At 41.3% G+C, this 24665-nt stretch overlaps 1 long non-coding RNA gene and 1 pseudogene across 2 annotated transcripts; both read right to left on the bottom strand.

The window, feature by feature from the left end:
- Positions 1–15050: 15050 nt before the first annotated feature.
- Positions 15051–15190, bottom strand: LOC124906376 (uncharacterized; annotated as a pseudogene).
- Positions 15191–16760: 1570 nt separating this feature from the next.
- Positions 16761–18448, bottom strand: LINC01213 (long intergenic non-protein coding RNA 1213). 2 transcript variants are annotated; one of them, NR_110168.1, is made up of 3 exons: positions 18365–18448; positions 17969–18032; positions 16761–17087 (listed from the first exon to the last, which is right to left on the bottom strand). It is a non-coding gene; the product is annotated as a long intergenic non-protein coding RNA 1213 (long non-coding RNA). The 2 variants fall into 2 exon arrangements; NR_110167.1 differs by lacking the exon at positions 18365–18448 and adding an exon at positions 18137–18267.
- Positions 18449–24665: the final 6217 nt, after the last annotated feature.

Here is a 24665-nt window from a genome sequence, read left to right as displayed (position 1 = left end):
ACAGGAAGCGCCAATCAATGTCCGTTCTTCTGTGCCTTACCAGGGCTGCAAATTATTTTCTGTTCAGTACAAACTGTGTTTCTTCTGATTTTTAGCCAGTATTCTTTCTAGGTCCTTTAGAGTCTGAGTTTTCTCTAACCATATTCTTCTTTTTTCACTTTTTCCACTCTTACATTAAAAGCTGCTTAGGGACTACAACCTCTGACCCCAGAAATATATGCAAATAGACACTTAACGCAGTCTGTTGGTGAATTTCTCTCATGGCTTCTTTTAGGCTAAGCAAGACTCAACGAGCATCTTCTGGCTTCTTTCTTGGGACCTATTATGGCTCTTATCTACAACATCTTGGGCTTCCCAAAGCTTGAGGTTTTGAGAATCAACCACAGACAGTTGACTTCCAGTGCTACTCCCTAGGAGAAATTCCCTGGCTGTGAGAGCTCCTTGCTTAAATAAGGCAGGAGTACTTTCTCAAAGAAGTCAAGGATCATTTCACTATCTAATCTCTGTGAGAGCAATTGGATAAGGAAAGGAGTCTTTGGGGCCTGCAGCAGTTAACAATAATCTAGGTTATGCTGCTATAATGAACAACAGTCAAATCTCAGTGGCTTTAAACCAAAAATGTTGATTTCTTGCTTATGTTACTTCTCCCATGTGGGTTGGCAGGAGGACTTTGACATAATAGAGTCCCCATACCAGTGACCCTCATTCCAGAGAGGAAGAGTTCTGGAGCGTCTTGCATCAATAATTCAATATTCCAGCCAGGAAGAGACCCACATCACTTCTGTTCATTGGCTAGAACTAGTCACATGGTTCTGACCAAAGAGACCAGGAATTACATACAATCTACCTTGTGTTTGAGAGGAAGGGGAACTGGAAATATTTAGAGAACAGCACTAATGATGTCCACAGACCCAACTGTAATGATTAACATTCACAGGCTAGTATTTGACCCAGACTAACTTGAGGCAATTGCAGGCAGCATTTCTAAACCTCTTTGTATTTCAATCAAAAGAAATCACTTTCAACATTTTGCTCCTAATTACTCTGTATCCCTCTCAAATTGTTCCTACTTCAAGGTGAAATCAGTGAAATGTTTTGAGAGCCCTGGTGCAGAGTTTCAGGCCTGTCACAGCTTCTTTGCTAACATCTTCACCTTGGCACTTGGGTTCTCCTTGAGTGTCCTCCCCACCCCCTTCACCAGCCTCAACCTCACTCTGCCTACCTCATCACCCTGGGAGCTGCTTGCATGCATCACTGTTTTGGTGGATGGCAGCAATACACAAGGGCACCTCATTGTTGGAAAGGAACTGCCTTCCGCCTGCCAAGGACAAATGCAGACACACAAAGCAATATCAAGCAAGACTTCACATCAAAGGGAACCCTGCCTGGGCTTGCCAAGAGCAGGCTGCCTCTGTGTCTTTCTCTTCAGCCTTGTCAGTATTCTTAGGGTCCAACAGGCCTATGGTGTCCCTGCCAGGCCGCCTCATTCACCCAGCACTCCTGTTCACTCTGACACCAAAAGCTCTGGGCTCTCCCTGAATCTGGGCTCGACAACTTGAACGGAGCACAATGCCAAGTGTTTAAAAATGCTGCGTGATTAGGAAGGAAAATCTCTGAGAAATATTTACTCTGTGAATTCTATGTGAGTAGGAGAACAGAATACTTTACCTTGTTCAGTGAAGCAACACATAGAAAGTTAAGAAATCCCTGCCTAAGACCTAGGAAAGCTTACCTAAAGAGGAAGGAAGAATGCTCTATGAGCGGAGATTTGGGAACATTGGAACCAACACTGAAATTGACACTGGCTGGCCTGGGCATTCAGACGTGACTGGGGAAGTCGTGTGACAAACAGAAGATCCAGAGAAACTTTAAGTTCTGCTTTAGAACCAACAGAAGAATTCAGGTTCTGTTGCTTTAAGGAAAAGAACACGTTTGTTTTACAAAGAGGATGAGGGAAAAATGGAAAAGAGAGACTGGCAGGGACAAAAAAGGGGATTGAAACTTTATTTTAGACAACAGGTAAGCCTATCTGTCTGTTCTGGATGCTAAAGAACTCTTCTGGAAGGATACACTCATCATCAAAATACAATGGAAGTTACAAAGTTTTAAAGTCAAATATTGTGAGAACTTGAAACGGGAGATGGTCTTTTCCAATTTTTTTTTTTTTTTTTAGTTATGAAAATCTAAGGCTCAGGAATGTCAAGGGGCCTTTTCACAGTCACACAGCTGCTTAGTGACAAAGCTGTAGCTAGAACCCTGAGCTTCTGACTCTCAGACATGGGTTGTTAAATCACAGCGTGGTATAATGGTGCTACGTGTGGCACGTGATCAGAGAGCACAGGTCTGCAACTTCATCAAGTAAGGTATTTTTAACATGGTGACTTCAACACTTTGACTAAGCTCTTCCACTGTAGCCAACCCTACTGCACTGTTCCAACAGCTTCCCAGAATGGTAGTAATTAGAGCAAAGAAAAAAAATAGGACCCAGAGAAAATGTAACATTTCTTAGTAGTGGGAGGAGGTGGAAATAAATGCATTTACATAACTTTCTACTTTCAGAACACTTCATGTGACTACGGGTTATTAACCTAGGGTCCATGAAGAGAACTCAGGCATTCCAGGACAGGAAAAAAAAATTACATCTTTTACTGAACTCTCACTGAAATGCATCATTACCTTCATTATGAATGTAGGCAACAAACCACAACAGTGTTTGCAGTCTTTGGACTTTGTCACTAATAGAAATAAACATTTTCACATTGTATTAGCTGTTGCAGGTATCTTGAAATATCTTTACCTTTTTTATCACTTTGCTGTGATGGTAGTTTTTAGATCTGCTGCTAGATTTTGTTAAATAGTGCTTAATAAGCACCTATATTACTATACCACAGATTTTTATAAATGTTTTGATAATCATATTTCAATATAATTGGATTATTTTATAATTCTATGTATGTATTTATTTTAAGCTGTTAAAGGCATTATTCTAAGAAGGGATCTGTAGACCTCACCTGTCAGAGGGGTCCTTGGCATGAAAGTTAGGAACTCTGACATGTGAGGGGTCAACGAGTGTCAGGTTGCCAATGGATACCCATGTCACTAGGTCCCCTGTCCCTGCACCATCATCCTGTGGGCTCAGAATGAAGGGATGCTTGCTTGTCATTCTGGGTTGGAGAGCTGCCAATATCTCTTGCCACAGACTGTGTTTGTAATTCCAGGGTGTACCAGCCTTTGAAAACTGACATGATTATATTGCAAAACGTGACAGAAAAGAATCCATTGTTTGGCGTTATTATTAAAATTAAGACTGATATGGAGTTGGTAATATTTATATTAAGAGGGCTGTGTTCACACGTCCATGGAAGTTGACTTTTCTGCGGGAACTGGCACTTTAAAGTCCAGTCAAAAGGAAGTCAATGTTTTCAAAGATGACAAAAACTGATTTGGCATGGTCAGTACATGTTCAGACTATTATTAAGTAAGAAAAATAAAAATTTTAAATATTAAGACACCATTTCCACCTCTCAAATAGGCCAAGAGTTTTAAAGGTGGTAATTCTCAGGATCGATAGGGTGTAGTAAAATAGATATTTTCCTAAACTACTCACAAGACCAAGGCTTGACATAACTTTTCTAGATGGCAGATTGGGCTTTATGTTTTAAGTGAGTGCTTTTCACCCAGTAATTTCACTTCTAGGAATTTATTCTGCAGGCAGAATTACAAAGATATTCTTCAAAATATTATTCATAACAGTAAAAAAATTGGAAACAGCGTGAATGCCAACAACAAGAGCTTGGTCAAATTATGCTACATCTGTAGGATGAACTATTACGTAGCTAATTTAAAAAATAGCCATTCTGACAATATGTAATGATATAAGGAAATGTGTAAAAATAATGTAGACTTAAAATACAACACATAAAACTGCAAGTATAAAATAATTCTGTTTTTTAGTTTTAAAATATCCTTCGTATTTCTTTGCAATCTTACTTATGTACATATACCTATAGAATATGTGTGTGTAAAAAACTAGAAGGAAATATATCACAGTGTTAGGGTAGTGGCATTTAATTATTGGGTAGAGGCATTTTAATTATTTTTATTTACTTCTTTATGTTTTTGGAACTCCTGACATTAGGAGAAGCAGTAAGACACTGTTTTTAAGAAGATGAGCTGGTGCCACATGGGCTGATGTGTTTGCTGTGCCTTCTTGTTGCTCCAGACAAAAGTTTGTTTTGCTGGTTGCTACTGAGTGTTATTTTTCTTGTAACCTTTGCTCTCTTTCCCCACCATTGGCTTCCAGATGTCTGATTTCACCAAGTTCAGGGCACTGGACGCATGTGCATTTTCCCCTCTAACTTGAACAGGAAATTCAGAAACTGCCTTAAGCCTGCCAGCCTGATAGAGCCAGCACCAACATGAATATCAACCCAAAACCTCTTGGCCTAATGAAAAATAGCTCGATGGGGGAATGTGAAGCTTTTGTAAAAACTGGTGACTGAGTTTGAGATAGGGAAAGAATTTTAGGAGGCATCTGCCCCTCTTTCCTCTTGGTCAATGATGGCTTCTGCCTAGTTGTGCTTTCTGCATGTTGTGGGTGAAAAATGGAGATAAAAAGTAATTATTCTACAGCAACTTAACCTTTTGCTGATATTTGGTAGAAAGTGATAAACTTTCAACTTTCTGTCATTATTTAGCATGTAGTGTATAAATTAGCTGGAAAAAATTCTGTTTGAATAGATGAAGACATATTTTCTACGGATTTTACCTTGAAAGTGAGAAATACAAAGGTAATTTTCTGTTTGTGAATGTTTGTTTTAGGGTTCTATTATTTGCAGTGCCATTTAGAATTTTGGAAACATTAGAGTCTATATTCCATTCCTCCTGTCTTTCTTAAACTTGGATCAATTTTCTCCGGGTGAAGTTTAAAATAATAAAAACTGGGAAACCATTTACTCAATGCCTCCTGTTGCATAGCAATCTAAACAAACAGGCCCCTTTCCTCTGTTAAGAACTTCCAATAAGACAAATCACAAAGCTTGTGTTTAAAAAAATGATTTCCAAGTTCCCCACCCCCAACCCCATTTGAAAGCTTCCTTTAAAAAAAATAGAGGCAAAAGATTGTAGACAAGAAACTTAATTGACTTTTTAGTGAGTCACTTCTCATGCTACTACAGGGATTAGAAAACTCTTTTGTTTGCGGTGAGGCCAGAGGATCTGAACTGGACACATAAATACCAAGCCAACCAAAGCAGGACAAATAATAAGAAATAATAGTAACCATCAGGTGGTCAGTATCTTCTGTGTAGCAGACACAGTGCCATGTAAGTTATCTAATCTTATAACAAACTTCCTGTGTTGGATATCTTACATTTGCACCCCCAGGTCCTCTCTCTACTCTTTTCCATCCTGTTCTCTGCCCAGGGAGGATGACCTATTTAGACAGCAGCAAAGGGCTTGCTTACCCAAGAGTACTGGCAGGAGAGAGGAAGGAGGAGGTAAGATCAGAGTATGTTCCTGGCCCCTTCTCTGCTGGTTCCTGCAGGTTGGCTGTGTCCCTCTACCCAGAGATACAGCTCCTGCCAGGCAGCCCTTTCCATTCCACTCCCCTCCCTGGCTTCCAAGAATGGCTCCTCGATGCTTCATTCAGGTCTAGTGGTGGGAAGAGCTCCCTGCGGTTGCCAGCTCCATATCGAAGTGAACTCTTAGGCAATGTCTTCTCATGCAATTTATTGGGAAATCAATCAGAGATTGACCTTTGCTAGACAACCTCTAGTGTCTTGTAAACATTATTTAAATTTTAAATTATTTGTCTTTTCAAAATCATGGGCTGTGGCACTAAGTAGTTTTGGCCTTGACTGTAAGCTTTGTCAACATTGAACACCTGGACAAAGTATTAACCTAGCAGAGCCTCAATTTACTAAAAATTAAAGAGTAACAGTAATATCTACCTTACATGGTATTGTGAGAATTCAGTGAACATATATAAAATTTTATTACAAGATACAGCACATAAATCTAATTTTATTCCTCTTTTTTCCCTCTTTCTTTCCTCCAACTAGGGGCCAAATTTAGCTAACATTTACTGAGTGATTATTATGTGTCATGTACTAGTTTAAGCATTTTATACATATTAATTGATTTACATCAATCCTATATACTATTATCCTCTCTTTTACAGATGGAGAAATCAAGGTGCAAAGAGGTTAAGAAATTTGTCCAAGGTTTGCCAGGACATAGATGGGAGTACTAATTCACAACTAGATGGTAAACTTTTCAAGGCAAAACCAACTGTATACCAAATTTCTTTCTTTCTTTCACAGGGCCTAGCATGATGTCTTCCATATGCAGGTGTTCAATAAGTGCTGATTTTATTCCAGGAGCAGAGGCAATTAAGCTAGGGTTGCAATAGTTAGGGAGCCAGGAGATCCACATGGTCAAAGTAGCAGCTGCTTTCACGAAGCAGTAATGCGTGCCGCTCGAATTTGGATGCAAGGTCCTGGTAACTGAGGAATGGGCTGTTGCTGGAAGATAGAGCAGAGAGCAGCCAGTTATCTTGCGGAGGGGTGAGGAAGGAAAGAGAACTTGAGCTGGGAAGCCAGCAACAGTGGAAAGCTCCCCAAGTGAAGCTTGAGCTCCTCTCTCAGCAATCCTCCTGGCCTTGAGGAGACAGTAAATCTCACTCCATCCTGTGGTTATACCACTGAAGCATCTTTAAAAACACTTAGTCCCAAACAATGGGCCCTTTCCTGCTGCTTTTCTTACCTGAGCCAGCAACCTCAGAGCTTTCTGGGATTTCTGTTAAAAACACCGAGATCCCAGGACTCCTTCTCTATCAACACAACTGTCGCTCACGCCAAGCATGGGACATATGGCCGAGCATCTGGGAGGGAGAAGATGGGCCAGGAGTGCTGGCAAGCGGCACATGCTTTCATTATAATGGATGTGTCACAGTAAATCATTTTGTAAATGTCCCCTCCCCCTGTGCTGCATAGCAAAACATAAAGGAAGACGAATTACCCACAGCACCACAATGCTGGTTGAATATGCCAAAACTTGTGCCTGAGACACTTAGTGACATTTCCTTAAATATCTTTTTAATATCTTGGCCAGGTTGGGCATACCAATGGCATTACAGAGCTTGCAAATCAATACCCCAGCTGTTTTGGTTTTTTAATAAAACTGAATGTGATCTATTTTAAATGATTGCCTTCCACCCCTCTAATTTTCTACAGGGCTTTCAGAGAGCAAGACTGTGGGCAGCCCTGAAGTCAGGACTTGGCTCTGAAAGGGTAGTTGTTCCTTTTGGGGGTGGGGTAGAAATTAAACATTTGCTGGATTACTGTCATCATTTTTTCCTAGTCCTCTAGTCTCCCAAATCTAGTGATCTACATGATTTACAGGACCAACTTGTGGTGTGCTGCTGTTTTTAAAAAATGAGTTTACCAAAATGTTGCAGAAGAATCTAAAGGGCTTAGCTTCTACAAATCAAATTGATTTCTCCATTTGGGATCAGTCCAAGTGATTTATTCATAATTTTATTAGAGATCTTTTCCAAAGGAAATTCTTTGTCTCTGATTATCACCATAAAGAAAATTGAAAGAGCTTCTACCAAGAATTCAGTCATATGCATGTGACTTTTGCCCCTCGGAAAAATGGAATATGTAAAACTGTCATCAACAGCAACCATCTTGGTTACTGGGCATCCACAGTCCTCAATAACAACAAGAATTCCTCACGCAAATAGGGAGGTGGTCCTGTCACATTTGGGGTCCCAGTAAGCAGAAAAGCCCAATCAAAGTACCTATAAATCAGAGTTTTATAAAGATATTAGTTGACTGCTACTTACGTGGGTCATAAATGTGACACCACAATAAACAATCAAGTTTCTTTGAGGATGTATTTGAGGACTTTTTTATTGGCTTTGAGAAATCACAGTACTTCCATCAGGAAAGTCTCATCTGCTTGTGCAGTTTATTGCTTTTATTTTCTGTAGTTTATACAAAGTGTCTAAGCTTTTTTCCTTCCAATATTTTTCCTGGGCTACATTAGTACAAGTCCGTGTTTTCCCTGGGCCAGCAGGACCACAAACCAGATTAAAACAAAAAGGGAGCTGGAGCCTCGGCTGGGCCCCTGGAGAGGCCTCCTCCCTCTGCCTTCCCCACCCCTGACCTCTCACAAACCAGCTTTGAAGCAACTGAAATTTCTTTCTTTCTTTCTCTCTCTCTTTTTTTTTTTTTCCTGACCACAGGCAAAATCCTGTCTCCTTGGTTCTCTGAAAGTTATCCATTCCTGAATTTTACCCTTAACCACAGCGGAGGAAAGGGAATAGCTGAGGTCAGGAAATATGGAAAGAATGTTAACAATTTACCACTAAAATATACATTAAGATTATTTTCAGCAAGTGTAATCCCCACGTTGAACTTCTAAATCTAGAATTCTCCTGTCATGTGACTATATTCACATTTATGTGTGCCCCTTTCAGCCTCAATTCATCCCTTCCTGAATGAGCTCTCTGTGAAAGGTAGGACTGAGTGAAAATAGGCAAGTGAAATCTTCAAGTTTCCCTCCCTAGTTAACACTGATTACAAATGTTGAAGTGGTTAGATGAAAGTAGTTGTCTTTTACCTGAGCTAGTGCACGAATATCATCAGAGATTTTAACAGGCATAAAAACGGAAGTGAAAATAGACACACAGGTCACACTTTCAATCAAACAGCTAGTTCTGTATAGAAATCCAAAATTATAAATGTTTAGATGCTGTTAAGAGCAAAAGGAATGAACCAGGGATATCTCATCTCAGGTACTTTTAAGATAATCACAGAATGTTAGCATTAGAAAGAAACAAAGAGAGTCTTTCATTGAACTTCATTTTATATAGGACACAATTAACAATAATTACTATTGCCAGTATATATGTATTTTCCCATTTAATTATTACAACAGTCCTAGAATGGGTCACATCTATTTTGCGGAGAAGAAAAAGAAAGGTGAAGGAACCTGCCCAAGGTGAAGTGGTAGAGGTAGGATTCAAACTTGAGCACTCTGGTTCCCATTCAAACATCAAATTAGAGGCCCTCCAAGGACTTGAACTCATTTCTCTTGGAAACCAAGGAGTCTTTGCCCTACTCTGGGGCAAGTAGATGGCTGCTAACTGCCTGGCTTTATCCACCCCTTCTTTGCGCCACATCTCACCCTCATGCTGGCCTCAGGTTGGTTTGGAGTGGCTGTCATGATCCAAGATGGATCTGCCTTTCCCCAAGGGCTGGCGCCAGTGCCTCCCCAGACACGCATGCTGCGCTGCATCTGTCGCTAATGGGATTTCCAGATTTCTGCCTCTTCATGAGTCCCATTTGGCAGCCCTGCATATCTGTGAATCTAATGTCTGTGTGTAGTCGTGCTCCTCAGCTGTTCCAGTTTGGCAAATAAGTGATGATGGCTGTGGCCAGGTTAAATCTGAGGGCAGACTTACTGTGAGTTTAGTTTTCTGAGTCCATCTTTGCAGGGACTGAAGCTACCTTGACAATGTGATGTGTGATGTGATCGTGATGGCCCTGGACATGTCCTAGACTCATCTTCTTCAGTTACTAAGCACTTCATGTATTGTTTCTTTGTAGGTGAACTTTCCTTAGGGGGTGTCCCTTTTTTCCCTTTTTTTCTTAAGTGACATAGTACCTGGGAGTTCACTGTCTTGTTTAATTTTGTCTCTCCTATATATTACCTAGCTTAGGGCATTAAACTTTGGAAATCAACAAATGATTATTACATATAAGAAGGAATAGGCTGGGCATGGTGGCTCACCCCTGTAATCTCAGCACTTTCAGAAGCTGAGGTGGGTAGATCACTTGAGGTCAGGAGTTCAAGACCAGCCTGACCAACATGGCGAAACCCCGTCTCTATTCAAAAATACAGAAATTAGGTGGGTGTGGTAGTGCACGCCTGTAGTCCCAGCTACTCAGGAGGCTGAGGCAGGAGAATCACTTGAACCCAGGAGGCAGAGGTTGCAGTGAGCTGAGATCATGGCACTGTACTCCAGCCTGGGCAACAAAGCAAGACTCTGTCTCCAAAAAAAAAAAAAAGAAGAAGGACTAGATTGTAGTAAAGTCCTCTGACCCTCTGTGTAGTAGACATTTGTTATTTCATGGCTACTCACAATCCATTCTATATCCCAGTAAACCCTGCTTCCTGTTAGAGCATGATCTCCTATCATGGCATGAGCTCTTAGTAGTCAAAAAGTCCAAGTACACTACCCATTTCCCACTTCAAAAGCTGAAGGGAAAAGTTTCTGTTTCACAGGGTTGTTATGAGTATATTTGATGAGTTAATTTAGAAATAACACATAAAACATGTGGCAACTGCTAATATTAGCTCTTCTACTTGTTCTTCTTCTTCATCCTCTTCTTGTTTGCCTTCTCATTTTTGTTGTTATTAGTAGTAGTATTATCCTCTGCAGAGCCAGGACAAGGGTACTTGACCTAAACTTTGCCACTCAGATTCCTTGGAATATTCAATATTGTATGGTTGACACAAGGACAGAAGATACAGTTAGTTTTTTTTAAATTGTGAAATATCACGCAACTAAAGAAAAATGCAAAAGTGACATGAAAGATTTGCAAATAACCGAAAGCAAATGCCTATGTAGCAGCATTGTCCAGTTTATTAACCCACCAAAGCCTTCTGTATGCTATTCTCCAGTCAAAGCCGTCTTCTTCCCTCACGGATAGCTTCATGGGTTTGGGACCTGTGCACATGCTCAGAAGAGTCCCATGCTTGGTTTAATGTCTGCAGTTGCCTTCTTGAAATTTTTTATAATTTTTGAGTAAGTGGCCCTGCATTTGAAGTTTTCTCTGAGTCCCACAAATTAATATAGCTAGTTCTGCCTTCACTCTTAAGGTGACCATTATCCTGACTGTTGTGAGGATGATTTTCTTGCTTTTCTTTATAATTCTACCACCTGTATGCATCTGGAGCTCTTTCATCCTCAGGGTATGCTCTGACATACTATTCCTGCTTTAAAGTCAGTCACTTCTATGATTACTGCTTCAGAGACTGCAGATGTTCCAGTGACTGACTCCTTCAATATTCTCCCAGTACATTCTACTTTGCTTAGGTTTGCCAGTGTTGATTTCTGTTGCTTGCAACCAAAGGAATATATCTGGTATCATTGTTTTTCTAAAAGACTCTTGATAGAGAAAAAGATAGCGTGTAATAATTTGTCTTTGTTTTATTCCTTTCTGCACAAAGTCTTATGAATGTTCCATAGATGTAAGATTTCTTTTAAAACTAACATCCTGACAAACTTATATTCCAGCAGAGAAAGTTAAAACTTGAAGTTGTTAACATTGTTACCTATATTTAGAAGAATGTTACCTTCGGGACAAGCCATGAAGCCCAAAATGCCTGCCAATGGCAATTTTTTTCTTCCCAGAAAAGTTGCCAGAGGTTGCTAGTGGATCACCACTTTCTTGGAGAACTCTTCCCCATGACATGTGGTTGAGATGGGATCCCCAAATTGCTGGCTACACATGTATCCTCAGCCTCCTGGCCTCAGTGATTAGAGCAGGGATAGGTGAATAACCCAAACAAAACCAATAACGATTCTCCCAAGGAGTTTTCTGCCTTGAGCTATCAGGGAAGATAATTTCAGGTCTTTGGGTTGGGGCTCAGGGTGTCAAGGTATGGGGAAACCCTCCTACAGCAATAGAGGCAGTAGAGACTAAAACTGAACAGCACACACACACATGGTGGTAAACAGAAGCCATGATGCAGTAGAAGCTATGAGGTGTCCAGGGAGTTGGTAGTTGAGATGTTGGCACAAAAGCAGAGGCAGAGAAATGCTGGCTGCCAGACTTCTCTTGAGTCCCTGGGGTTACTGTGATGCCTTAAGGGACATTTCAGCGCTCTATGAAGCTTGGCTTGGCCACTGTTAAGATGGCTTCTTCTGCTTCCTTACTTCCCTGCACATCCTAAAATAAACTTCCTACATCTGTCTCAGCCTTGATCATCATAATTGGTGTCTATAATGAAACATATGTACAAACCTTGGAACTTGTTAACTGGACTTGAGACCTAAAATGAACCCTTCTCCATGCTTAGTCAACCGTTGTTCTTTCTAACAGTGGAGCTCATTTATGCTTAGTCCCTGCAACTCAGGGGTAAGTGAAACAGCTTAAAGCCAGAAACATCAAACGGTAATCCAATGAAGAGGACCTAGCAATAATTACCTGCCACACTGGAATGCTGACCTGGTGATTCTGGAATTCTTTTTTCTCCATCTTTACTCTCTCCATTATATTTCAGGCTTCCAGAAAGCTTCCCCTGGATTGAAGTGGGCCTCCCTGCTTGCAATATTGCTCCTCTTAATTCCATTCTCCAAAGAGCAATCAAAGCAATCATGATCAAATTAATAGTAAAGTGACTACCTATTGCTCTCAGGATGTGGCCCCAAATTCTTAGTTCACATGTGAGGTTGTTTATGATTTGGCTCTTGTTTACCTTCCCAGGCATATTCTTCCCACCTCTCCCCACCTCTATACCATCCCTTACATTCTCTGCTCTAGACTTGAACCCACTCTTTTGCCTACTTACCTTTTGCACAAGTTTTCTTCTGCCTCAAATACCTTCTTTCACTCCTTCCCCTTGCTTTCTCCTACTCTTCTTTAAGGTCTTAGTTTAAATGTCCCTTCCTCCAGAAAATTTCCCCTGAATTCCAAAGACCAGGGTTCACAAACATGCACTCCATAGAGTTCTCTTTTTTAATATAAAATTGCCCTTTAACTTGTCTGTCTTCAACTTGGCTGTAAGTTTCTTTAGGATGACTGGCACATAGTTGATGCACAAATGAACGTACAAGATTAGAGGAAACAACAGAATATTTCTACTCTTGCAGCCAGAGTCCAGGGCTGTGGTGTGGGTGAACAGACATCAGAGAATTGGACTAGTAGCTGGGGCAAAATATGAGGCCAGGAATCCCACCCACTGATTAAGAAGACCGCTAGGAACCATGAATTACTTAGGAATTACCATCTTGATTAGTTGAGTTTAAGGCAAGTCCCCAAACCCATCCATCTCCTTTTCTTGCATATTTTAACTGAAGGCAAATAACAGCTTTTCCCAAATGGTCAATACTTACATGTAAGACAACTTGCCTATTTCATAATTTCTCAAAACAAAAACAAAATCAGTCCAACTAGGATGCCTGGTGAGCTGTAGTTAGAAGCTTGGCTTGGGAATCCATTGATTGAAATTGTTTGGACTGGCAGTAGAACAAAGTACAAATGGTTAAGCAGATTCCTCAAATTCTGCTAAAACAAGAGGAAAGATAAGAAAACCAGAAATGTCGCCTCCATCCTGGCCAATGTAGAAGAGCTAATAGGTGAATGACAGCATATTTTTAATCCATAACGGAATGTTGGTTTCTTTTCTTGTTTAATGGCTTCCTTTCTTTAGGAGAACCTGATACGAGCAAGCAGAATTCTGGAAGGCAACATCTTGAGAGCCCTGAAGTGACAATGGGATTCTGGGAAAGTCAATTCCTGGAGCCCCAGTCTCTTCATCTGCAAAATAGAAATAATGATTACAATGGACACTCTCCTGCCTGCTGGGTGGCATCACAGGAGACAGTGTTTTAGAAAGTCCTCTGTATGTTCAGGGTAGCATTAACACCACCTCCCACTGCCTCCCGCCAATAAGAGCCTACAAAAGAAACACAGCCAGGTAAACTGAGTCAGTAAGCACTGGATTTGGGAGTTTGAGTATTTCCAAGCAGAAGTCATGAGGTCAAACTTTGTAATACTAATAGGAAGAAGCACAGGAATCCCATTTCTTTGATCAATTTATTAATTTTTTAGTAAATTCTCTCTCATCAATTGTGCTATAATGTTTTTGCATCCCAGACAGTTTTGTACAATATCATGTGTTTCATGCTCCTTGTTCATCAATATAATGCAGTTAGTTGGCAAAATAGTTACAGGAACTGAGGTTACCCTTTCTATTCAGCACAGAGGGGAGATATGGAAGGAACGTTCAGGAATATATTTCTACCTGGGTTTCAAGTAAAGGTGGCCATTGGCACCAGTTAGGGCTGGACTCTGGGTAATTATGGGGCATGCAGACAGCTCCATCCCTTTACCATAGCAGGCATCAGTGATCTACCACAGCACCTTTCCCCTTCTTAGACCTGGAGATGGCCTCAGAGCCCTTCCCAGCACAGTGGTAACTGGATCAGATCACAGTAAAATGCATTCGTCACGCCATGTCTAGGCACTGATCAGAAGCCATGACTCTTCATTATCAAGCTGTTAAGCAGCTATTAGGTGATGCCCTAATGCCCTACTGAGAAAATTAAACCAGTAACTTACAGGTTTATGACTTATTCTTTCATTTTTTGAGCTCTTATTGGTTGCGCTTAATTCAAACAAATAAAACAGGGTAGCAGAGTTAAACCAAATGCTTGGGTTGTAATTCCCAAGTTCTTTTCTCTTCTTCCAGCCACACAGGATATTTGATCCTTTTAATGCCTTTAACTGTTGGCTTCAAACAACTGTGAAGAAGAGAAGGAAACCTGACACTTTAGCTGGATGATGTTTATACAGATGCAGCTTCTTCCTTCACATATTTGGTTAGGAGGAGCTCAGTGAGCTGGAGGCTGAATCTCAGGAATGTTTAAATAAAGTGACATTGACACAGACCCTGAGCAACATTTGCAAACCCCATTCTAACCTCACTTAGAGCTGAGGTTCTTAATCTTTACTGGACATGGATTCCTTTGGCAGACTGGTGAGGTTTATGCATCCCGCTCAGAATACTATCTTTATATAAAACAGTAAAAGAAAATAAATTGGGTTATAAAAAGAAAATACATTGGGCTAAAAATGCATCTGGGCATACTGAAATACAGTTATTAAAATATTTTTTAAAGTCTATGATAAAGATTTTTATATGTTCTTATTTATTAAACATTATACAAAAAGATCTAATGGCAAGTTAAGTAACTTCCATAATTTTGCAATAGTGATCAGGGCAAATATTTTGAGATATCAGGGGTAACTATAATGTTATATGAAACTATCTTGATTTCTATTGGTGACTAAGCCACAGGTACCAATAAGACTACTGTAGTTTGTTACCATATTTAAACTGATAAGAACAGATACTCCACTTGATCTTAGCTAAAAGGCCGAGAAGCGATGTTACCATATTTAAAATAGAAAACTTGCTAAATTTCAGAGAGAGGTTAGTGGAAATAGTGATTCCTCCTCCAGTCCAACTAGTCTGTGAACCCTTTGGATTATGTCCAGGGACCCCAGTAATAAACCTTGGACAAATTTGAATGTAGAGACCTCTGAGCTATCAGGTGTAATATTCCCACCACTAATTCTCCACTTAGAGAATTCCTGAGGCGGCCGGGCACAGTGTAATCCCAACACTTTGGGTGGCCGAGGCGGGTGGATTGCTTGAGCTCAGGAGTTCGAGACTGGCCTGGGCAACATGGCAAAGCCCCGTCTCCACTAAAAAAAATAAAAATAAAAATACAAAAATTAGCTGGGCATGGTGGTGCCTGTAATCCCAGCTACTTGGGAGGCTGAGGCAGGAGAATCCCTTGAACGCAGGAGGTAGAGGTTGCAGTGGGCTAAGATCGTGCCACTGCACTCCAGCCTGGGAGACAGAGTGAGACTCTGTCCCCCACCCCCACCCCCCACCAAAAAAAAGGAAAAGAAAAGAAAGAATTCCTGAGGCAGAAGAAAAGGGTCTTATATGGATTGCTTTGTTTGGTGTGAGACTGCCTTGCCCTTCTCTTCAAACAGAGGATCTTCTTTACTATTAGAGCTTTTTCCTCAAGGGTCACATGGGGTTTAAACACATTCTCTGGTCTAGAAAGTGCGCACCCCTGCGGATGTGAGGAAATGGGAGCCTACCCAGGTGAAGCCACCTGACCCACATAAATAAACAGTGGGAAAGGCCATCCACATTTTCTATCCCTGGCAAGTTGAAAAGTTAAGGTGGCCCCAAACTCTTGCTAGATCTGACATGAACCAGAGGTTGAATCTGGGACATACAGTCTGGGACTCTGTTGTCTAGCGGGGTTGAACTCAGCTCCCACCGGCACCAGATAAGCTTAGAAATTTTCTGCAGGCTTCGGTAGGGGAGATGCTAAAGAGCAAAATGACCCCTAAGCCTATCTGGTGTTAGTGGGAGCTGCTTTAACAGTGTATCATCTAAATATTTGTTGGTGCTAGATGTTCTGCTTTGTTGTTGGCTCAGTACTAGATAACAAAATCACAGATGTGTGAGAGGCATGTGTGCTTGGAGGTGGAAGCTGGGTAAGAAGAGACATTTTAGGCTGGGAGCGGTGGCTCACAGCCGTAATCCCAGCACTGTGGGAGGCCGAGGCAGGCAGATCACCTGAGGTCAGGAGTTTGAGACCAGCCTGGCCAATATGGTGAAACCTCATCTCTACTAAAAATACAAAAATTAGCTGGGCGTGGCAGCGGATGCCTGTAATCCCAGCTACTTGGGAGGCTGAGGCAGGAGAATCACTTGAACCTGGGTGGAGGTTGCAGTGAGCCAAGATCAAGCCATTGCACTCCAGCCTGGCGGACAAGAGCAAAACTCCGTCTCAAAAAAAAAAAAAAAAAAAAAAGAAGAGACATTTTAGAAAATATTGCCATTGAGATAATGTGCCTCTGACATATTACAATTTAAATTCACACTGTAATTTGGCTTATATTCTCTATGAGAGCATTAAAGTTGATTCCTTATTTGAATTGCAATTTCACTTCTTTATTTACTCAGAGATGATCACAGAAGGGTTCCCTAGAATTACTTAATGCTAGAAAAATAGCTCCCAAGAGTCAATCAAATTAACCATCCCTTCCTAACAATATAGAATCCAGCATACTTTGGTTCTCTCATTTGACATTTTGCATGATGACAGTTGCAGAATTTGACTTCTGGGCATTTTGGTTTCTCCCCAATTTAGGAGAATGCCCAGAATGCAGAAACATGAGAAGAATGAACAAAACAAAGATGACTTTATAGGTCTCCTTTGAAGAGCTTTGCATTTCTTCCAATTGCTTTCTCCCAGACTAAAAAAAAAAAAAAATTACCTCAGTAATATATTCTCGGGTAAAAATATAAACAATATAGAAGCAAACTGAGCAGAAAGTGAAAGTCCTTCTTTGCCATCCTCCAATCCCACTTCCCTCCCCAGAAGTTAAGAATCTTTCCAGACCCTTTTTCTATGTGTTTATATATGTGCATGTATATAGATGCACAAAAATACATGACCGCAAGCAAGATGCATATATTTCTTTACATAAATGGGAACGTATACACTATATATATTTTCCTATGACTTGCTTTTTTATTTACTAATATTTCTTGGATATCTCTCTACATATAAAGCTATCTTATTTTTTTTTTAAAACTACATATTATTCCATAATATATATGAATGTACTGCGTTTGTTTAAGCAATGTCTATGGATAGACATTCAGGTTGCATGCAGCTTGGGTTTTCTGATTTGTTTGTTTTGTTGCTATTAGAAACAGTAATCCAAATTTATTCTACCTCCTTTAAGCTGATAAAAACCATCCCTAGATGTGGATTTTCTCTCTCTATTTCTGCAGCAATAAGAGTGCAGATGGGTAGGAAAGGGAGAGAATGCAATTCCTTTTCTTCCTTCTGACCACCTTCTTCCCACCTTCCACCTCCCACTTCCTTCCTGTCCACAATATACAAAAAGAGAGCTCCCTCTACTGGGAATGCCATTGCCTTCCTCCCGCTCACCTGGGTAACTCCTTTCTTCCTGCAAATTGCACCTCACTCCATCTCCCCAAGGTCTCCAGCTCACCACCTGGGAGGTCAAGGGCCTTCCTTCATGTTCTTTTGGCCCTCTCTGTATCCGACATCATATTAAAGTTACCCATCCAGACACCGGCCCCTGAGGGGAGAGAAGGAACTCACCGTGTATCCTCAGCACCTAGCACCCGATCAGCTGCGGCAGGAGCCCAGGGGCATACCTGGTGACCTGAAATGAAGGACCTCCAAGTGAATAGATCTTCACATAGTGTGCACTTGGTTTAGTTACCATTAAATCCATGTTGAAGCCAACAGCATTAAATGATGAATCACCTGGATAACATCGGAGCCTCGGACAAGGTGTGCAGACTAAGAACAGGATTTCAGAAATGTTAAAATAACACACATCAATGCCAGCATTCGCCGGTCCTTTCTATGGCCTTCCCCACACTCATCACATTGGTAGGGATCACTCTGATATTGGCAGCAGGCTTCTGCCAACTGAAAAAGAGCAATACCTGTTCTGCAGGTTCTATTTTTAATTTTTATTAACATTTTTACCTGTGCCCTGCTTGATCTCTCTCAGGCAGGCTGTTCTGATAAAACCAGTTTCGTTATGTCCTTTCCCTGGTGCATTTCTGCCCAGAGGGAAGGCTAAGCACACAGAAGAGCCCGGAGACAGTTCCATCTGGAGTAGCCAGCGGGTCAGACCACAGGGCTAATCCTGAAACTAGACCATCAGGTATCTTGGAGATCAGCTAGTCAGTACTGGAGAAAAGGGTGGCTTGGAAGAGATGGATCTCATTTTATGGAAAGCACAACAAACACTGGTTCCACCCTGCCACCAGCTTGCTGCTCCCTAACTCAACTTGTAGAGAAATTCTGAAGAAAACTGGCAATCAGCCAAAACTTCCCACTCCGGCTTGTACAGCTGAACTCTGATATCCACACAGCCGCCCCAACAGTGAAAGAGAAGGAAGAGGGATGAGGAAAGGAGGTAGTGGAAGGAGCGGTGTGGACTGGTTCTTCTTCCTACCCTTCATTCTACAGAGAAGCACACTGACACCCACAGAGGTGAAGGGTCTGAGCCCCTCACTGTTGAGTTGGCGGCAGCCCTCTGGGAATTCAGCCCTCCTCCGTGCCAGTCTCCATGCTGTTCCTATGCCCTGCATGTTGAATAGGTACAGTAGTTATCGACCACACTTCTGGTATAATCTATGGCTAGGTGAGGGATCTACTAGGCCTTAAATGCCTCCTCCACTTGATTTGCCAATTTCCCATATAAAATAATGGTTTTATTCATTGGTTCTTTTATAAATGCAAATACCCCTGGGAGAGGCAACATAGCCTTAAAGGATTCATTAAATCTTTTCTGCAAAGTAGATGAACCATAGTTCATGACCTGGTCTGGCTGCTCCTACAGCTGTAAACTCCCACTGACCCAGATTCTTCCTGGCAGCCCACAGGAAGATGAGTGTGCGATGACTGGCAGATTAGCTCTTTCAGGTGGAAGACTGCCAGAGAGATGTGCCAGCACTCTCCTTGGCGGCAGAGGGTGGGAGAGCTTGCCTGGGAGTGAGGTGTATCCTCAGGCTCCTAAATCACCTGTGTGTGTCCATGCCCCCTCCTTCTCTCCTTGCGGTGGATTCCTTAGGTCTTTGCCAACTCCAAAAGCAGGGGTGCCTTCAAACCCTGACAGCTGCGCTGATCTGGTGGCTCTACCTTTAATAGCTATTTTAGGTTCCTTCTAAACCTTGTCGAGTCTCCACACTTCTACTTAGTTGGAGGCACCTAGAGTGAAAAACAATGTATATACAGTAGCCCCCATTATCTGCAGGGGTATGCCTGAAACTGCAGATAGTACAGAACTTTATACAGACTATATATTTTCCTATACATACCTATGATAAAGTTTAATTTAAACACTAGGCACAGTAAGAGATTGGCAGCAATAACTATAAAATAGAACGATTATAACAATATACTCTAATAAAATTTATGTGTATGTGGTCTCTCTCTGTTTCTTAAAATATCTTATAATACTGTCCTGCAGGTAACTGAAACCACAGAAAGCAAAACTGTGGATTACGGTGGGGGAACTATCGTACCACGTATACTACAGCAGCTACAAATGCTAGGAAGATTGTTTAAAGAAGCCTGGCCCCCCTCTTCCTCTTCGAGTTCCCTTGTGAGGATGAATAAAGGAAAGTAATGCATCCAAAGCTCACTGAGCTCCTTGGGGAGAGGGGGTATGAATGCCCAGATTCCGTGGTTTTACACCGGGCATTTAATAATACCACTGACAGCTAGACTTTCTCCTCCCTAACAGAATTTGATTGCATGAATCACCCAAAGGTCTTCTTTGCAAGAGAATTTTTTAAAAGTCAATGAAAGTGGAAAACATCATAGTCTTCCAATAATGACTGACAACAGGCAAGGTTCTGCTAAAACTGGGGGAGGGGGTACAATTCCTATGGGACATGGAGAGTTATTCCTCTCTGGAAAGTCTCAGAGACCAGAGAGGTAATGGGAAACACAAAAGCGAGTTTGACTACTGAAATTTAATAAGGCCTGACATTTCTGTGCCTAATCCTCATATATATTCCATTATGGTGATTTTCAAGACAGGCCACCAGAATGAGGCTGTCTTATGCATACAAAAGGGAGGCAGAAGGCAAGGGGAAGGAGGGGCTGTACTCACTATAAAAATAAGAGCAATCACAAATAATCTCAACAAAACTTTTGGAAAAACCAGTACTGATTTCCATTTCTCAAGAAATTCTCCCTTTAAATTATTCTGCCAGGCTCCAGTGAAATCCTAAATCAAGTTTTTTATAGGCTTAAAACACAAAATCCAATGTAAAACTAAACATTTTAAAAATAGGTACATGAAATGACATTATGGAAAACCAGGAGAAAGAAAGTTTGGTAAGTCAACTCTTTCTAAAATATTTCAGCCTGCCTGGATCTCTAGACAAGGAAGGAATTCAGAACCCAGCTGCATAGCTTCTCTCTGTGGCTGGTCAGGCATTCTTCAGTGGCTCTGGTGGCAAAAAAGCTTAAAACTTGCTTCAAAAAAACAAGCAGCTCCCATCCGGGACTGTTAGAACTCTGAAAACCAGGCCTGTGTTCACACTGGCCCAATCAGTGAAAGATTACATGTCTCATATAAGGCTGCAGTACCATCTACCCTTGAATAGAATGAGTAATTTTGTGCTATTTTTGGATGGTGCAGTGCTTTAAAACAAAGTGATAAATTAAAATGGCCTCAGTAATGCAGCAAAAATGTTAAACTGTTTGAAGGCAAATGGAAAATGTGGCCTTAGTATACAAAGAAGGAGCCAGCAGATGGAAAGTTTTGGAGTCTCTCAACTGAGTTAAGAAGAATGGCAGCCAATCAGTCTGGTATTGAATTTTGGAAACTATGCTGTGCCCAGTATTGTGCCTGGGCATGAGGAATTATTAAAGAGAAATTATTATTTTTTTTTTGTTTCTAAGTCCCCAGTTAGATAATTCCTTGAGGGCAGGCACATCATTTGTTTTTCCATAATAAGACCTAGACTTGTGTAGCCAAGTTAACATCCCACCTTCTACACATCAACGGCCTATTTTGGTCACTGCTGGCATCCATCAACTCTTCCCATCCCTCTTCAACTCCAAGCCCAATTTCTCCACTTTACACTTAGCCAAATCCTACATCCCACACATCCTCCAAGGTCCAGCTTACACCTCCTTTCATCTCTTCATGATTTCAGCCTGTGCTGGTTGCTCCCTTCTCTCCTTTCCTATTGCATTCATACCACACAGGGGTTTATATGAGCAGTGGGGAGCAATGGACACCCCAGGAACAGCATGGGCAAAGGCAGATTGGGTGCACCTCAGTGATGCTGAGAAAGGAGAAGAAAGGGACAAAACGGAGGGAGCAAGGAGGAATGTGATAGATTCAGATCTCTCCACTCGTGAGCTCCATAATATTGGGCAAATGATTTTCAAGTCCTGGAGCCTCAGATTTCTCCACTCCCAAAGACTTCCCACAAAGGGTTTTCATGAGTGATCGCCTGTAACATCTGAACCATAAATAAATGAATTTGTGTTAGACTCATCTAACTTAAGTCAAAATGGCACACTGGGATGAAAAGGGTAAGACCATGAGACAGTAATGATCTTCATCACGTTTGGCCCAAAAGGGTGCATCTTAATAGCAAGATTTAATGAGTCCTTACTATGTGCTAGGCACAGTCCAAAGACGTGCTAATCCAATTACTCCTCACAACCATCCTATGAGGTTGGTAGCACTATTATCCTCATTAGTTGGGGAAGCCAGCATTCCAGCCAGTCTAACTTCAGAGCCACTAGGCTTAACCAGTACAGAATACAACACTGCTCCATCCCTCGCCCTTTGAAAGGAATCCTATGACTTGCCTTTGCATTTGCAAGTGATTTTTATTTTATTTTATTGAATAGATGATGTAGCAATGTTAAACCCAATTTTTTAAAAACAGTTTATGTATCTTTACTGTTAGTTTCTGGTCCTTACTCATTTTTGCACGTCATTTCAAAAAGGACCCTGGTTTGCCTCAACTGTATACGCAAACTTAGAAGTGACGATGGCATGAAGAGCATTACCTTAATCTGGCCCTGGCTCACCACTCAGTAATAATGACATGTAGTCATAAATTAATTTTATTAAATTATAATTATTTCTGTGAATTTTTTATGTATCCCAGTTCTGGTTTGTGATTTACTTTCCTAACATGAGAGGAAAAAAGTACATTTACTACTTATGAAGGAAAACATTTACATCAAATTATCTTTGTATCCAGGAAATACAAGGTGTCAAATGTTGGATCTGAATGATAAGAATATAGGTAATTTTCTTTTGATTACTTTTTGCTGCCCTTTTTAACATATCACAGTGGAAAGTATATAATTCACTATATGTTTTTAAAATCCCATAAAATTACAGCATTAATTAAAATAAGACCAAACTGCACCAAACTGCCCCTGAGAAGCACTTTCTGTGGCTACAGGATCACCAGGGCTTGTCCGTATACCACCCCAACTTGCAAAGACCCTTCAGTGCCTTCCTTACCATGCCTCAGGCCATAACAGAGCCAGAATGTAGGGATGCCAACATGTTGTTGGTTTGTCCAAGATTATTATCCAATGATGGTCCAAAGAACAGAATTCAGGCATCCCGATTTGCTGCTGTCTTACTTGTTAATTATATCCTAAATAAGCCTGCTTCCTGAAATTTTCTTTATAGAGATTTCATCACATGCAGTTTCCTACTTTGCATTAGATTCATGGGTTCATGGCTATAGGAACCTAAATGTGGTAACTGGGTGCAGGAGTAGCAAAAATCTGGTGTACCCTTACCTTGTTCTAGCTCCCTTACCTGTAGCAGACATTATTAGTGGATCACAGAACTCCTTTGAGCTTAGGTTTAGCTCAAATCCTTTCCAACACAGTACTCCAGGCAGCCACCACAATAGTTGGCTTCAAGGATGAATCTATTTGTTCTCCCTGGAGATGGCATGTCAGTGTCGACTTTTTTCTTTGTTAGTATCTGGCCTCAGTTCTATGCCAATCATAGCTATGACCTTGCACTTCTTTCTCACTCTGCTTCAGAGAATATATTCTGAAAATGGGTACTCAGGCCAAAAGCTACTTTCATTCCAAAACAATTTCCCTAGACACAAGGGCTGAGGGAATCACAGCTAGCCCATTTACTTTGCATGTTCAGAAAACCTCAAATGACTGGCTCAAGCTCACACAGCTGGGTTCGTGATGGAACCAAGACCAAACCCCAGGCTGGCTGACTGCTTGCCCAGAGCTCTTTTCACCACTCTGCCTATCTGACTCTGGGCTTTGTCAGACGGAACAAAGAAAATGTTCCTGGGATCTGACACTTGTAAACACTTCTCCATCATCCTTGCCACGGCAGCCTGCCAAGACAGGAATCAGGCCAAATTTAGTGGGTCCTTCAGCCCAGTGACTGCAGTTGAAACAATCCCCTGATATAGAAGAGGGGAGGCCAGAGGAAAATGCACTGTTCTACAAAGAACAAAGCTTGGGATGATTCATTTTCCTGATTCCGGTGGTGGATGATTGCTGATGCCTGTCACTCATACATGACTGTCAGCAACTTTGCAGGAATTCTCATGTAGATGCTTGTCTTGAACACATAAATCCCTAGTTACTTCTTCATAGTTCTCAGACTTTCAGAGGTCCCCGGACATACTCTTCTGGCTGTCCCTTTTGGTATTTAGCAAGATACCTTTTATATTTTTTATTTTTTGTTATTTTTTTTTTTTTGAGACGGAGTCTCGCTCTGTTGCCCAGGCTGGAGTGCAGTGGCACGATCTTGGCTCACTGCAAGCTCCACCTCCCGGGTCCATGCCATTCTCCTGCCTCAGCCTCCCGAGTAGCTGGGACTACAGGCGCCCACCACCATGCCCAGCTAATTTTTTTTTTTTTTTTTTGTATTTTTAGTAGAGACAGGGTTTTACCGTGTTGGCCAGGATGGTCTCAATCTCCTGACCTCATGATCCACCCACCTCGGCTTCCCAAAGTGCTGGGATTACAGGTGTGAGCCACTATGCCTGGCCAAGAGACCTTTAAAAAAAATGCCAAATAGTCTGGGGGACTTAGAAAACTAGCTTCTCTGGACCTCAACTTTAGCTTCCTTAAAAGTCAGCAATTGGACCAATTGGCCTCTAAAATCCTTCTGGCCCTACAATCTGATGGCAAGAAGCATTTGAGGAAACCCTCCTTTTTCTGAGAAAATCCTTTTAAATATTTGAGGCTTTTATATCTTAAATCTTGTCTGGTTACCAGTATACTAACAAGGCCAGGCTGG

This window comes from Homo sapiens, chromosome 3 (assembly GCF_000001405.40).
Source record: "Homo sapiens chromosome 3, GRCh38.p14 Primary Assembly".
NCBI classification, from domain to species: domain Eukaryota; kingdom Metazoa; phylum Chordata; class Mammalia; order Primates; family Hominidae; genus Homo; species Homo sapiens.
Note: the sequence above shows the minus strand (reverse complement) of the source record. Positions and strands in the feature narration are given on the sequence as shown.